Genomic DNA, 16,715 nt, shown 5'->3' with positions numbered 1-16,715 from the left:
ACTGGAACGACCTGATGTCCTTCAACAGGTTAAAACACTGATGTATCCATATTATGGAATATTATTCAGCAATAAAAAGAACAAACTGTTGATGCACGCAACAACTTGGCTGAATCTCAAGGGCATTATGGTAAATGAAAGTCAATCCCAGAAAGTTATATGCCCTGTGATTCCATTTATATAACATCCTTGAAATGACAAAATTATAGAAATGAAAAACAGAGTAGTGGCTATCAGTGGTTAGGGATGGGTGAGGAGAAGGAAAAGCATGTAGTTATAAAAAGACAAAACAAGTTAATTTGCTAGTGGATGGAACTGTTTTACATCTTGACTATGGGAGGGACACACAAACCTATACACATGAAAAACTGCAAAGAACAAAATATACACATGTACAAATTAGTACAAGTAAAACTGGGGAAATCTGAATAAGATCTGTAGATCATATTAATGTCAACACCCTGGCTGTGATATTGTACTATAGTTTTGCAGGATATTACCATTGTGGGAAAATGGGCAAAGAGCACATGGGGTCTCTCTTTTTTTTAAAAAAAAAAACAATAGCATATGAATCAACAATTAGCTCAAAATAGAATCTTTATTTCTTTAAAAAAGGTATTTGTGATAATGCAGGTAAGAAATAATGACAACCTCAACTAGTATGAAAATGGAACGGAAGCAACACATTTTATAGCAGAATAATGAATGATAAACAGTCGAGTATGATAAATGACAATAGCATGTAGCTCTGGCCCACAGTTAACATAATCCTGAAAATATATTCTTACCCAATCACGGTGAGGCTGGGGAAGAAAACGCTATGACCTATATGGAAAACCCTACCTTTCTTATTGAACAGATACAAACATGCCTTGTATGACTGACTTCTAGAACTGCATAGACATTTTTTTCAAGACATAGTCTCCTACACCAGGGTTTCTCAACTTCAAGATTATTGGCACTTTGGGCTGTATAATCCTTTGTTGTGGAAGATGGCCTGTGAATTCTGCAATTCAGTTTAGCAATTCAATGTTTAGCAGTAACCCTGGCTTCTACCCACTAGATGCCAGCAGCAACCTCCTACTTCCAGTTGTGACACCCAAAAATGTCTCTAGACATTGCCATATGCTTCCTGGAGGGCCAAACTGACCCTGGTTGATAGCCACTGTGCTAGACTAGTAAAAACAAAGACCAATAACTCAAGTTTGGGAAATAGCTACAGATATATTTCTGAAAAGCCTGAGAATTTTAACTTTAAAAAAGGTCCATACACGACTCAAGACTGAGAAACAATACTGCAGGTTATACAAAGTTGAATGATAACCATAACTGCCCTCAGAAAGGTTATAACATAGAAAAACAAAATTAAACTACAATATAAAGTGATCAGGCAGTGAGAAGCAGCATTACATTATAGTTTAACACACTGGTGTAAGAAAGAAGCCTTCAGGGGACCCAGCACTCTAAAGGTTTATTTAATCCCTTTTTTAAGCCTATAAAAGCCGTAAGTGCTGGCTGAAAGTCCAAACACACTTCAGAAAACTTACATTGTGAAGACTCTCTCACACCCTTTATGCTAACACTAGGTGAAAAGAGGAAATAAAAAACAACAGAGTAAATAAATGTGGTCTAGGTTTTTGTACATACTTATCAGGCAAACTAATTTTAACCTTGACTCAGGAACCTTTATTCTCTAAGATAACATCTTCCTAAAAAGCATTTCAACATATATTATATATGTGGCAGATATTTTATTAATGCCATTAACAACTTAACAAAAAATAAACCTGGAGTCACTTGGAGAAAGTTCTAGCAAAGCAACTAACTATTCAAGTGAATGGGTGGATTTCTACCCAGCTTCCCCAAATTTCAGTGTCTTCCTCCTCCCTCTCATCTTATACAAGGAGTTTCTTAAACTGGGATCCACAGGCCTTTAGAAAGTATTTGAAACCGTTAAAACTCCAGTAAAATTTTGTGCATGTGCATTTTTCTAGGGAAAATACCCAAACCTTGACTCAGATTTTCAAAGGCTAAGAACAATTTCCAAAAAGTTCAAAACAATTGTTATACAATGTATGCAAGTTGTACCCTTTATTTTGACTACGATACAATCATAAGATCTCTTTTGTCATATCCTTATATTTTGTTGTAAGGATTCTAAACATCAAAAATTACTACTATTTTTAAAAAGCAACCCTCCTATGCTCTGGGGTTTCTCTTCTTTAAAAGTCACAGATTAAGCCCTATTTACTTGAGTACTCCATCCACACTTTAGCTGAGATGACAGGAAAACATTACAGAGCAAGAAATCATAACACTGCATCTACTGTAAAAAACCTCTCCTAGGATTGACACAATTTGTAGTATACAAAATTTTGGTGTACATAAATTGGCAAACCTATAAATTTACCTATAGTCTTGCAATAGTAACAACTGTCCATTAACATAAGAACACAATTATCTATGTTACAGAAGTGCCTCCTTGACACATACTTAACATTTACTATTAATCTGCTGCAGAAATGAGTAACTTCAATAATCTGTACTATGCTTTTACAAAATATTCAGTACGCTGCTATAAACACTAAGAAAAAGTTTGTATAGAAAGCCAAATTTAAATTAGCGAAAATGTATGCCACTGACATAATCTTTCCAATTAAGTCTTAACAAAATATATAAATCAGAAATATACTTTAAAAATTAACCATCTAATTACATTTCAATCTGAATTTGAAAAGCAATAAATCATGATCAAATGGACAACACAGAATTCAAAGAAATGGCAAATAGTAAAATACTGCCAGAAATACTTGCACTACATATCCACACTTATGTTATCATAAATTGGTGTAGCCAGCACCAAAAATGCTGAAGAAACAAATTTTAACTTTATGAGAAATTATAGAAACATCACAGATCTAGTTAACCAGGTAGATCAATTTAGCCAGTTACCCAGGAAGAAAGCAATAGAAATGGTACTGAAGAAAGCCTAAGTAAATTCTTTCCAGATGAGATGAAATATGAGAAAGAACCAGAAGTCTGGCTAAACTTGTTGAAAATATAAAACATATTTAATTTTCAGCAAAATCAATTTTATTAGACTGAATTTCTTGAAAGCAGAGCCAATGAATGACCAAGTCATCCCCATATTAGTTTCTAACAGTGTTCAGGCACAGTAGGCATTTACCAAAATGCTTGTTGAATAAAATGAGTTTTCCTGAGTCAAAATAAATTGTAGTTAAACACATGAACAGTTCTTTTACAAAAACAAAGGCCATACATTTATGCTGACTTCAACTGATCACACTATGACACAGAGTACTGTGCTAGGCCATGGAGATCAACTATAAACAAGATACAAATCTTGCCTGCAGTAGACATTGTGGTTTTCCTATCTTAGAAATTATCTTAATTTCACAGAAAGCCAATTTCACTCAGAGCTCTCAGGATAAAGACTAAAACCTAAACTCATTTTTCTTTGTTTTCGAGACAGGGTCTCGCTCTGTTGCACAGACCAGAATGCAGTGGTGCAGTCACAGTTCACTGCAATCTCAAACTCTTGGGTTCAAGTGATCCTTCGGGGCTCATCACTATGCCCAGCTGAGATTTTACATTTTTGTAGGGATGGTGTCTCACTATGTTGCCCAGGCTGGTCAGACCTAAATTCAGTTGGATAATTCTACTACCCTGGACAGACTGTATTGGTTAGGAACAGGTGCAGGACCTAACTCAAGGCAGACTAGAAAAGATGCTGGTTGAAGGGTCTAGAAAAAAACCTTTCTCATTCTTTTGAACACACTTCCTGTACAAAGGTGACTCTCACTTTCTCCCCTAAGGGGATGTTTTCAAGGTAACAATGGATAAAATGAATATTCCACATCAACTCTGAAGAAATTAAGCAAGGTACAGAAAATAGGTACAAAAAAGAAAATGTGAAACTTTCAAGCACTTCAAGACTTTGTTGAATAAAGAATCTTTGCTCATTCAACAAAGTGTAAGCCTATCCCATCAGATCTGTAAGTATTGCCTTCCTATAGTAAGCTTTTTTTTTTCTTTTTGGAGTCTCGCTCTGTCGCCCAGGCTGGAGTGCAGTGGCACGATCTTGGCTCACTGCAACCTTCACCTTCTGGGTTCAGGCGATTCTCCTGCCTCAGCCTCCCAAGTAGCTGGGATTACAGGTACACACCACCACGCCTGGCTAATTTTTATATTTTCAGTAGAGACGGGTTTCACCATGTTGGCCAGGCTGGTCTTGAACTCCTGACCTCAAGTGATCTGCCTGCCTTGCCCTCCCAAAGTGCTGGGATTACAGGTGTGAGCCACTACATCCTGCCTGCTCTTTCTATATAGTAAGCTTTTTACACCCAGTTTTTTTTTTTTTTTGGCCTTCACAAAATTCTTTCAAGAACCTAAATCAGGTTCTCTCAGATGTGAACACTGTCAACCTAATGACTGTCAAGAGGTTAAATGATACACACTAAAAAACAAAAAGCACGCTTTTCTCATAACTTATGCATTCTGATATAGACAAATGACAACAGAAACATTTTCATATACTTCATTACTTTTATAACTGGAATGAACAATTTACAGATAGAGTGAGGTTCTAGAAATCAGAAGTCAATGCTAAACCTAAGATTTACTATATTAATATAATGGCATGGTATGAAGTCATGATTTGCTAATATCAGATTAATACCTTGTGACTCAATATATACATATTAACATTTATCTAAAACATACTTATTTTGGTTTTATTCTTCTGCCAGTCTCCAAACCCCATTACAGTGGCTAAAGCAGCAAAATCTTTTAAGACACTAATTGATGGTGGATTTAGATAAGAAGGGAGCAGTAAAATACAAAGAAAAAACACTGATTAGAAGGAATACAAGTTGGTAATTGCTAATATAAAGAGGAGGAAAATATTCAGGGCCTGGAATAAGACAGGAAAACAATTTAAAAAGAAGTTAAAAATAAAAAATCATCTGAATACCAGCTTATACTAATACACCATAAAATTCACCAAGTATTTTACTATTTATCTTAATCAAGCTAAAAATAAAATAGACAAAATAGATACTGAAGAAAGATCAAACCAACTTAAACACACGTGTTTAACACACTCCTTGAATGTGTTCAAAACTGGCAATTTTATTAATAATAATACAACTCAGATTTTCTCAGGAAATTTCAAGCAGTTCTCTTAAAGGGCTGCTTTTCAAACACTAGTAGGTTACTAAATTAATTCAGATTTTAAGAAGTAAAAAAGTACTTCTTTTTTCACTGTAATAGACTAGAAAATCAAAATAACATATACAGTTGTCCCACAGCATCTGAAGGGCATTGCTTTCAAGACCTCTGTGGACACTAAAATCCGAGGACACTGAAGTCCCTTATATAAAATGGTATAGTATTTGCATATAATCTATGCATATCCTTCCATATACCTAAATCATCTCTACATTACTTATAATAACCTAAAACAGTGTAAATGCTGTGTAAACAGTTGCTACGCTGTTTTTTAAATTTGTATTATCAAGCCAGGCATGGTGGCACACACACGTAGTCCTAGTACTTTAGGAGGCCAAGGTAGAGGACGGCTTGAGGCCAGGAGTTTGAGATCAGCCTGGGCAACATAGTGAGACCCCCATCTCTATGACAACAAAAAATTAGCTAGGCATGGTGGCTAATACCTGTAGTCCTGGCTACTCAGGAGGCTGAGGCGAGAAGATCACTTGAACCCAGGGGTCTGAGACTGCAGTGAGCTCGATGGTACCACTGCACTCCAGCCTGGGCAACACAGCAAGATTACATCTCATAAATAAATATCCATTTTTGTTATTGTATTGTTATTTTTGGTAGTTTCTTTCCTGAGTATTTTCAATCTGCAGTTTGTGGAATCTGTGGATGTGAAACTCACGGATACAGAGGGCACAATGTACAATAAAGTTAAGTATTCTTTTGTGAAATTGCATTTCAATTATGTAGAAATATTTGTGTATATAATGGGTCATGATTTTAAAAAATAATTCTCATTGCCAGTTACAATCAAAAACATCTTAGAGGTTTTGTTACCATAACTAACACTAACTTCATTTGGGTATAAAACAAAAGATAACGAAACCTAAAGGCTTCTGATTGGTAAGAATGACAACGAAGCTCAGTTTAAGACAAACATATCTGAATCTTCCTTAGATGCCATTAATGCCCAAAAGCTATGGTTTTCCAGGTATCAAGGAATCTGAGAAAACATTCCTAAACTATGGCTCAAGCAAAGCACATAAACTTAAAATGAAAAATTATAGGAGTATTTAACTTAAAAATGAGTCAAGAAAACTAATCCAGCAAATGGGCAGAGGACCGTTCTGAGATACAGACTGAGTATATTGAGGTATTTCAGGCCTGATGTACGTTATAATACTATTTATTGAGCACTGCTCTGTCAGACACTTGAAACACTTATTTTTAATTTCTACCACAACTCCAAGGGAAGTATTATAATTCCTAATTTATAGGTGAGGGAACCAGCTAAGAAAGGTAAGTGGTTTATTCTTTCTGTCTACTGTTTTTAAGGACCATCTCTGATAGTTGGCCATTCCACACTGACAGATCCTCAAAGGTCTGTGTTAAGCAATCGTCTGTATTCACTCCCTAGGAGATTTCATCTATTACCATTTCTAGTTCACTGTCTCCTATGTATCTACAACTCAGACTTCTGCCGATGACCCGTAACTTCCTACCTGATTGACATCTCCACTTGAACTATAAAACCAAAGTTATAATTGTTATAATTTCCACTCCTCAACTCCAAACTTGGCAAATTTCTAATGTTCTGTATCATGAACAGCACATTACTGATGAAGCTGAACAAGCTAGAAACATAGGAGATATTTTTCCCATCTCATTCATTATCCTCACCTCCCCATATGCAACACATCCTATGCGTTTTAGGTATCTCTCATATCCATTCCATTCTCCATCGCCAACACTCTCCCTCCCAACTCCAGCTGCTCCAAGTTTTCATCATGATTCGCTTAGATTACTGTAATATACTAAACGGTCTTCCACAGCCTCTCTAGCCCTCACTCAACCCATTCTTCACACTGTAACCGAGTGATCACAAGAAAGAAATCTATTCACTCTCTATGTTCAAATTACTCTTAGGCTAAATAACAAAAATCTCTAACATTGGTAACTAGTCTCAGAGTCTGGTCTGCATTCTCGTCTCTCCTTATACTACTCTCTCCCCTAGAGAGTCAGCAAATTATATGGCCTGGGGGCCAAATCCAGCCTGCTGCCTTTTTTGAAAATGGTTTATTAGAACACGGCTATGTTCATCGGTTTACATATGGTCTATGGCTGCTTTCATAGTATAACAGATGTGACCAGGTACAACAGACTATATGACCCTCAAAGCCTAAAACATTTACTATCAGGCCCTTTACAGAAAGTTTATCAATGTCTGCCCTAGATCAATGACTGAACACACTGACCTCCTTTAAGAACATACTGTTCCTCTCCCACCACATGTACATCCTATGTATTCAGCATTAAATATTCTCCATTCTATGTCACCAACCCCCAGTTAACAATTTAGCTATCAGATCTGACTAAAAATGACTTTTCAAGAAGGCCTTTCCTCACCATTTAGATTAGCGCATCCTAATTCAAACTAGCCACATTTCAAGTGTCCAATAGCCCCATGTGGCTAACATGTTTGAGAGACAGCAGTAAACCAGAGGTCTGTTTGTTTCCAGACTCTATTATATTGGTCGATATGCCTATCTGTGTGCCAGTAACACACTGTCTTGAAGTTTTATATTATATGATAGAATGAGCATACACACTACCACCATTCCACCCTGCCTTTCTTCTTCAGAAGTGTCCATGCTATTCTGTTAATAAGCCCTTTACTCTTCCATTTATCAAATCAGCATGTGAAATTTCTTAAAAACTTTTGAAACTTCCAATGAAACAACACTGAATCTAGAGCTCAGTATGAAGAACAGTGACTTCTCTATGATATGCCATATTCATGGACAGGAAGGCAATAGCTCTGTCATTTATTTAGGTCTTTTTAATGTCTTTCAATAACATTTTGTACTTTTCCAATACAGAGGTTACACATTAATTATTCCTGGGGACTTGATAATCTGTCATGTTTTTATAAATGGTGTCTTCTGTAATTACTTTCTCTAGTTTTCTGTTGGTAATGTATAGAAATGCAACCTATTTTTGATTACTGATCTTATATCAAACTATTTTGTTAACTCTAATAATTTATCAGTAGATAAATACTACTTTAGTAATACTAATCCTTTTTGGCCTTTACATTGATACTCATTATTATGAGCTAATAGTGACAATTTTGTTTCTTCCTTTCCAGCACTCATGCTTTTCTTTTTCTTATCTTTTGCTCTGAGTAGGATCTCCATATAACACTGAATAGAAGTGATGTTTTATTTGCCTTCTTTTTGATTAAAAAGGGAATGTATTTCCTCATTTAGGATGATAGATGATGTTTATTATAAATTTTGCTTGTCTGTGTACACGTTTTCAAGAAAGTTCTTACCTGTTCCTAATTTAGCAGTTTTCCCAAGAATTGTTAAATTTTATCAAGTCTTTCTTCTGCATCTATTGTCATTATAGTATTTTTTCTCATTTAGTTTGTTGATGAGGTAAACTACATGTACAGATTTTTCTATTAAAAGCCACCCTTTGCACATCTGATATAAATCCAACATGGATATGATTTTCCTTTTACATACTGTTCAAGGTTTTTCTGCTATTAAATCCCCCAAAATCCCTTATTTAAAACCCTTGGAATAAGCTATGTTTCAGAAATCAAACATTTCTAGTCACTAGTAATAATGCATGGTGCAAAAACTGGGTATTTTTTAACAACCTTAGCAAACTGAGTGTCAGCATCCAGTATTCAAACACATTCATGTTTTCACAGTGAACTGTACAGATACTCACTCTAAACAATGATTGTAAGCAGACTTACATCCATTCAAGTCAGGTTTTGCCATCAATGAGAATAGGCCAAATCAGGTTGTGCTGCCAAGTTCTTAAATCTTTGGTTTTCAGAGGTTAGTCGATTTCAAAATTGAGGTTAAGGGTCTGTAGACCTGTATTTAAGACTTTGGCACGTATACTCATAAGTAAAATGGAACTATAATTTTCCTTTTTTAAGCCATTCTTGTCTGGTTTTAGAATTAAAGATAGATGACTTAGAGAATAAACCTAAGAATGTATTCCCTTGTCTTCTATTCTCTGAAACAATTTATGTAACATTGGAATGATCTGTTTTTGAAAAATCTGCAAAATTGTCTGGAACTAGTATTTCCTTGGTAGGAAATTTAACTACTACTTCACAATTTATTTAATATTTACAGGATTATTTGAAGCATATTTGTTTAGGTAAATTACATTTTTCCAGGACTTTGTTCATTTTGTTTAAACTTTCAAACTTGTGGCACGGAATTGTTGATAGTATTCTCTATTATCTTTTAATCTGATCTATCTGTAATTATGTTCTCCTTTTTATTCAGTGCTTATTTATGCCTTTTTTCTCACATCACTATTACCAGAGGTTTGTCTATTCTATTTTTTAGTCTTTTCAAATAATCAGCTTTTAGCCTTTACTTTTCATACGGTCTCTGTAACTCTACCACTTTACAACTGAATGCCTAAATCTGCCTCCTGACTAAAAGTATACAAAATTATACTAATACTGTAATTAGAAAGACTATGCAGCAGTATGGAAAAATATGACTGTACTACTGCTATTAAAGAGAATGTTTCTGTTCTTAGGAAATACACAATGAAATATTTAATAGCAAAAAGAGTCCACTATCTCCAACTTAATCTCAAAGGGCTTAAAAAAAAAAACAAACCAATAGACACGAAAACACACACACACGTGCGCACGCACACACACAGCTCCATCAAGTGGGGCAAAATGTAGATAATTGGCAAATATGGGTAAAGGATATATGGATTCCCCTTTTACTATTCCAACTTTCATTGAAATTACATCAAAATAAAAGGTTACCAAAGCAATTAGGCTTGTGAACAAAAATGGAAAAAAAAACACAAAAATAAAAGCAATTTAAAAATGGAAAGGCTGTGTTTTTTCTTAATAAACATTAAGTAGTTTTAGTAATATAAACCAATAAAGAGAAAAATATTAAAGTTTTTGTCAGTGATAAAATGGTACTAGTGATAACAGGTTAAGTGTGAAGAGATGCAAGAGAGTAGCATGTTATGAGTTGAGTATGTGCTGTAAGTCTAGATCAGTATTATTTTAAAAGTTTACAGCTGGGCGCGGTGGCTCACGCCTGTAATCCCAGCACTTTGTGAGGCCAAGGCAGGCCTCGGATCATCTGAGGTCAGGAGTTCAAGACCAGTCTGACCAACATGGAGAAACCCCATCCTACTAAAAATACAAAATTAGCCAGGCATGGTGGCACATGCTTGTAATCCCAGCTACTCAGGAAGGCTGAGGCAGGAGAATCGCTTGAACCCGGGAGGCGGAGGCTGCGGTGAGCCAAGATTGCGCCACTACCCTCCAGCCTGGGAAACAAGAGCGAAACTCCATCTCAAAAAAAAAAAAACAAAAAAAAAAAAAACAAAGTTTACATGCCTTTTCCAGAAAATTTGCTAACGACAAAAAAAGGTAATACTTTAACTTAAACTTAGAAAATAAAGCAGATTCTATTCAACTATAATGGGCAGTTACTATATTTAGGAAAATTACCTAGAATAAGCTTACTCAAAATATCGACACCTTTAATTGGGTATGATAAACAGCAGTCAGCTGTAGAAAATAAATATTGATAATTTACAAGATTATGGACTTAACCTATGAAGAAATGACCAACACATTAGCATAAAAGCCTACTGAATGCTATCTTAAGCCATAAAATCCTTAAATACAAGTTTGTGTGCAATTAAGTGTCAAACAGTATTAGAAGTGAAGTTGCTAAAATACCACTGTGAAAAATATCTAATAAAAGTCAAAATTATTAAATACAACTTTAACAGCATTCATATTTAGGTTTCAAATGCCTAATACCATTAGATGGATTAATACCTACTGAAAATGTAAAAGATGAAAGAATGCTTGCTATTTGTTTAGAATTCTGCAATTCAAATTTCAGAAACCTTTCTGTATACCTTCAGGTAGTATACCACCATCTGCAAAGAAGCTTCCTGGAAAAGTTAATAAATATCCAAGACTGTAAACTGTTACAATTTTATTGTATTATTAATATCCTTGAGTGAGACAGGTATGTCAAATTAATACCGCAAAACTGGTAGGGCAGAAGGGAAAAACAGAAAAATAGGATGATTACAAATGGAAAAATTAAGAACAAAATCACTTCATATCTGGGTTTCTGTAAAAAGAAAAAACACATTCACCAAGAATTTTTATGCTGAAGAATATGAAATCAAACTCTACCCCAATAAAGCACAAAAATAACAAAAAATCACTTATCCCCACAGAATACTCAGAAAATTAAAAAGGGCTACTAATTATTATGTATGGAATGAATGAGACTAAATTCTAACACTGATGTCAGTATTTTAAAAAAGTAACAACAAGCATTTTTATAAACATCACTGACCTTAAGTTAACCTTACCTTTTTATCTTCTTTCACTTTGTGGGTTTTCTTCTTCATCTTCTTATCATCTAACTCCTGGTCAGAAGTGATTGCAGGATTATCAATACCACCTTTCCAAGTTTCAACAGGAGAAAGAAGTGGATCTTCTTCACTTCCACGATGTCTTCCTTTTCTTTTTGTTTTAGAAGTGGTGAAAGCCTCATCATCACTGGCATCTGAATGTGTTCTTCTATAGTATGACTTGGCTTTACTAAACAAGGTTTTAGATTTATATTTGTATTTTGAAGGCCTCCGTTCCCCATGACTTTTTGAGGTTCTATCAGAAAACCCATTTTCTTCATCTCCTTGGGTGTTATTTACAAATGAGTTTCGAATTTTAATACGATTTTGACTATCATCTGGGACAACATAAATCTCATCAGAATAGCCCTTCTGTTTGAAAATTGTATCAATGGGTTCCGCATAGTTATCTGAAGGATCCATATCTTCAGGATGTGCCAAAGGCACCCGGGAAGTCTGCTTTCTTGGATTTTTACCAATACCAGCTTCAATTGTTTTTAAAAGGTTTGGATCGAGTTTTTTCACATTTGTCTTAGGTACAACTGGTTTAGGTTTAATAGGTGGAGGCACTTTATGGTTGCGTTCATGGTCATGACAGTTTGGGGTACTATGAATAGGATACTCATTTCCTTCCAAATCTAATCTATATCTGGAACGGTCACTAGGTGTTGGAAGCAACTGTACATCATCCCCAATTGGACTATAAGGAGGTGGTGCTTCTGTGTCATCATCTGAATCAGGGTAGTTATTATAGGGAAAACAGTCTCTGGGAGATGGTAGAAAAACATCTTCACTTTGATGGGTTGATTCCCTTGTATTATCAGACAAATAAGAATTTTCTATCATATTTTTTTTCTCTAGAACATCACTAAAAAACAGAGTAAAGACCTCAGTTTGCCGATGATACTGAGATAAAGAATACAGTGCTGTAAATTTAGCAGTGATCTCAGTTGCAATGTGTTCTCCTTCAGTCATTAACTCTTTGATAGCCTCATTTTCAAAAAAATCTGCTTGGCTGTCAGTAACTGCCACCAGCTGTACAGGAATGGTGTCTTGAACTTCTGATAGAAATGCTCGAAGCATTCCCATCGAAGCTTTCCGTTTTGCAGAGTAAACTAATATATACCCATGAACTAGTTCATCTTTTCTTACTCCAATTGAAGAGTGGTATGATAATATTGTGATCTGTATTCGCCTCCTTTTTTCACCAATGATTTTATCAAGCATTAGGGAATTATTCTGTCCAGCTTGAGCAGCACTGCAAGAATGAGAATCAAGGAAGGGTGAAAGAATAAGATCCACACTAAATGGATCTCCACACATGGCGCACATGACAATTCTCAAGTCAGCTTCTGATAAGTCCTTATTGGCAGGAATTGGGCTCACCACATCCAAATTGTGTTTAACTGATTCCAATACTCCTCTGAGAGCTTGCTTTATTTGGGTTTCATTAAATTTACGAGGATATGTACCAGCAGGTACATCTACAAAAGGACATTGCAACTTGTTTGCCAACTGCTGCCCTTGGTGCCTGAGAATTGGTAGATTCTTACTAATGGAATCTCTCTGATTAGCCAGAATTAATGTAAATGGAAGATTAGCCATGTATTTATCTTTTCTGATCTGAGAAGCTTCAGTTCTTATTTTCCCAATAAATTCCCCAATAAAACTCAATGACTCAATGGAATTAAATACACAGAAGCACCCATGTGGTTTAAAGGCGGCAGTCCATAACTGACTCAAAAAGTAAGGCGATTTGGCATCAACCGGCCGAAGATCAAGTTCATAAATTTTTCCATCTAAGGCATACTCATCATCAGTGGATTGTGTCCTTATCTCATTTGCTAGTTCTTGGGCAAGGCCATCCTTCCCTAAAATAAAAAGGTTAACTTTATCTATATTGGTACTATCGTGATATAATCTTAAGCGGCCATGATCCAACTGTAAAAGACTACTAGCAAGTAACTGCTCCACTTTAATGTCTGTACAATTTTGGCCACTAAGACATGTTTCTTTAGTGGGATGATAAACAAATCCTATATGCTTAAGTAGAAGGGATTCCCTATCAGGTGCAAGTTTCTGTAAAGCTTTATATCTAGGTTCTTCACTCAGAACTGTATGAATTTCACTCATTTTATCTGAACTAGGTGTTGCATTAAGATCTAAATCATAAAAAAGTTCAGAATGCTCAAAAAGCATTTCTTGAAACTCTTCTTTGGCTTTTTCAACTATTTCTCGCTGATGCCTACCATATACCTCTTTGCTATCAGCCTCAGTGATATATTTGTAGGCTTCATCCTCCATAACAAAGCACATAACTTCCTCCCATGGCTGCCCTGGTGAAATGAATTGAATTTTTTCCAAAGTCTTTTTGAATTTTTCCTTCATTTCCACCCTCCTCTTCTCGGATATCAGATGCTGTACATGGTTCTGATAGACTTTTTCAGCTTCTAAAGTGCTCAGGAGGTCAAATGGAATCCGCCTATCATTAATTTTGTCTATATGGTCAGTTTCATCCCAAGGAGTTTTTTCTAGCACCACAAAACATAACTGGAAATCTGCTCTCTTTTCCATTAACTTCAAAGCTTCTGACCAATTCAAATGTTCAATCTCTTCTAGATTTGGCAAAAGAGTGTTAAAAGCTCTTGGTAAAGTATTTATATACTCTTCTCTCCTTTTTCTTATATGTTCCTGTTTAAGTTGTTCTATATGTTTTGAGAATGTATTTCTGGCCTTTCTTGTTCCCTCTAAGTTGATGTATTCTTCATAATCAGGATGATTTTTTAATTTATTACTAACAGTTTTCCAAGTTGCATGATAATCTCTCACAGTCTGCACAAGTTTTTCAAACTTATCTGTTGCTGTGACAACAAGTTGTCTCTGTGTTTTATAAGCATCCAAATAGGGAATAATTTTAGGCTTGCTACGAGTTTTATCCAACATTTGTACCAGTGCAGTAAAACATGTTTCAATGTTGACATTAAATCGTGCTGATGTTTCCACTACAAGAAGGTTCTTTTTATTTGAAGCAAATGCCTGAACTTCTCTAAGATAATGATCCACGCATTCATCACATTTAGTTGCTGCTATTATTACAGGTTTTTTTGATTTTGATAACTGGACAAAAAGGTTATTCACAAATTTAAGTTGATCATCAAACTTCCTATTGCATCCTTGACTTACATCAATGCATAATAAAAATCCATCTACGTTGAGCTTCCCTTCAGGCATTTGCTTCTGTTCAAAGTCTTGTTCTAAGCCTAGCTGATCAGTGCAAATGTACATTAGTTTTTCTGCTGACTGCAATTTAGATGCAGCTGCACGTTTTATATATGGTTGCAAATTCGTACTCCGATGAGGCAAGAAAGTCTGGTCATCAATGAACTCTGTTTGTTCAATGACATGAATTTTGCATTCTACTCCATCTTCACTATTTTGTATTATGTCACCCCAGTACAAAAAGTGATCATTGTTTACTACTCGTCCTCCAAAGTCAATGGTGCTAAGCACAGAAGTATGCTCTGGATAATATTCATCTGCTTTTGAGCGTACAAATCTATTGCACAAACAAGACTTTCCAACTCCACAGTTACCTTTGTCTTTTTCAGTCCCAGAGAGTCCAACTATACTGATGGTATAGGATGGGGGACGAGGCTCTTTGTTTTTTGCCATCATAACTCTCTTCTCATGTCTCTACATTCATAAAGGTAACCAGATATGCTTCTCATTCTGAAAATAAAATCATCTCAAAATACAGATCCCAAATTTCAGAACTGTATTTGGTTCTTTGTATTTCCCTCATTTCTGTGCAGAAACATCTTCAAGATCATAGGGATCATCTTCCTATAGAGAGGGGAGAAAAAGAACAAATCTTAATCACAAATTACATACACTGAATTACAATAAAGATGTTTACAACAAAGCACCATACAAATTAATAATAATGATACATGTATTTTAAGAGGTAACTACATAAACAGTTTATGATTTACTGTTATAAATACAAGATGACCTCAAAATTTAAGGCAAACCTAACAAAATACAAAATCTAACATAATGTCTCACAAACTTTAAAATAAACCTCTATTAAACCAAATGTGCATTTTACCTCTAATTACCCCTTCCTATGAGTTTGAAGAAACAGCTAGTCCTTTCCACTCCCTTAATTTTCCTGCCTTCTGTCACTGGAGGCGATGCTGGTGATAACTAAAATGTACTAGTTGACTTGCAACTCCCTCACAACTTAAAAATACAAAACAACCTGCTTTTTACATTATAGGGTTCCTTAAAACTTATTCCTTAAAACAGAATTTCATAAGAATTTGATAAGATTTTAGAATATACAAATTTTTTGCAATAAATTTCAAGTCTTTTTTAAAAAATCTACCAAATGTTATACCCCCCCAAAATTAAGAATATTTAAATACTTAAGAGAAAACAGAAATAAGTGAACACTTAATACAAATAATGATAGCATTTACATAGATCACTGCTTCTTAAACTAAGGACCAAATTTTATTTCAAACCTATAAGACCAACTGCAAAATATAACGAAATTTATTTTTACATCGAAGCCTTGATTTTTTATTAGATTCAAGAAACTTAAAACTGCCAAACTGTTCCTAAACGCTCTTAATTTCTGGATATACTTCCTCTCATAATAGTTACAAAGGGCACAAAGACCACATTTTGAGTAGCACCAAGCTAAATAATTTTAAAATGATATATCTGAGACAATCTTTTAGAATTATTTGATATACTAGCAACACAAGATAACTTTTAAGAATTGCATAAAATTTAATTTTGATTACTTGTTTTCATGTAGGTAATAAATTGGTCTTTTAAAAAAGTTTTTAGAGATTTTTCACATTCTTTTGAGGCCAAATTAAAAGAACTGCATCATTTCCACCACCTCCAAATTTCATAAGATAGGAAAAAATCACTAGCAACGTACATCAGCACATATGAAAAGTATCCTCAATCCAGACAAAATAAAGAACAAAAAAAATCTAAGAAAAGTAAGA

The 16,715-nt window shown here is 34.9% G+C and overlaps 1 protein-coding gene across 2 annotated transcripts in view; it reads right to left on the bottom strand.

Annotated features, from left to right (window-relative positions):
* The window catches only part of ARHGAP5 (Rho GTPase activating protein 5), an 82,425-nt gene that overhangs the window by 53,693 nt on the left and 12,017 nt on the right, over positions 1 to 16,715 (bottom strand). For both annotated transcript variants that reach the window (NM_001030055.2, NM_001173.3), the window contains exon 2: positions 11,650 to 15,534. In NM_001030055.2, the coding sequence (NP_001025226.1) occupies positions 11,650 to 15,366 (3,717 nt within the window). In that variant the 5' untranslated portion in view covers positions 15,367 to 15,534. The remainder of the gene's footprint in view (positions 1 to 11,649; positions 15,535 to 16,715) is intronic.

Source organism: Homo sapiens, chromosome 14 (genome assembly GCF_000001405.40).
Source record: "Homo sapiens chromosome 14, GRCh38.p14 Primary Assembly".
NCBI lineage: Eukaryota > Metazoa > Chordata > Mammalia > Primates > Hominidae > Homo > Homo sapiens.
Note: the sequence above shows the minus strand (reverse complement) of the source record. Positions and strands in the feature narration are given on the sequence as shown.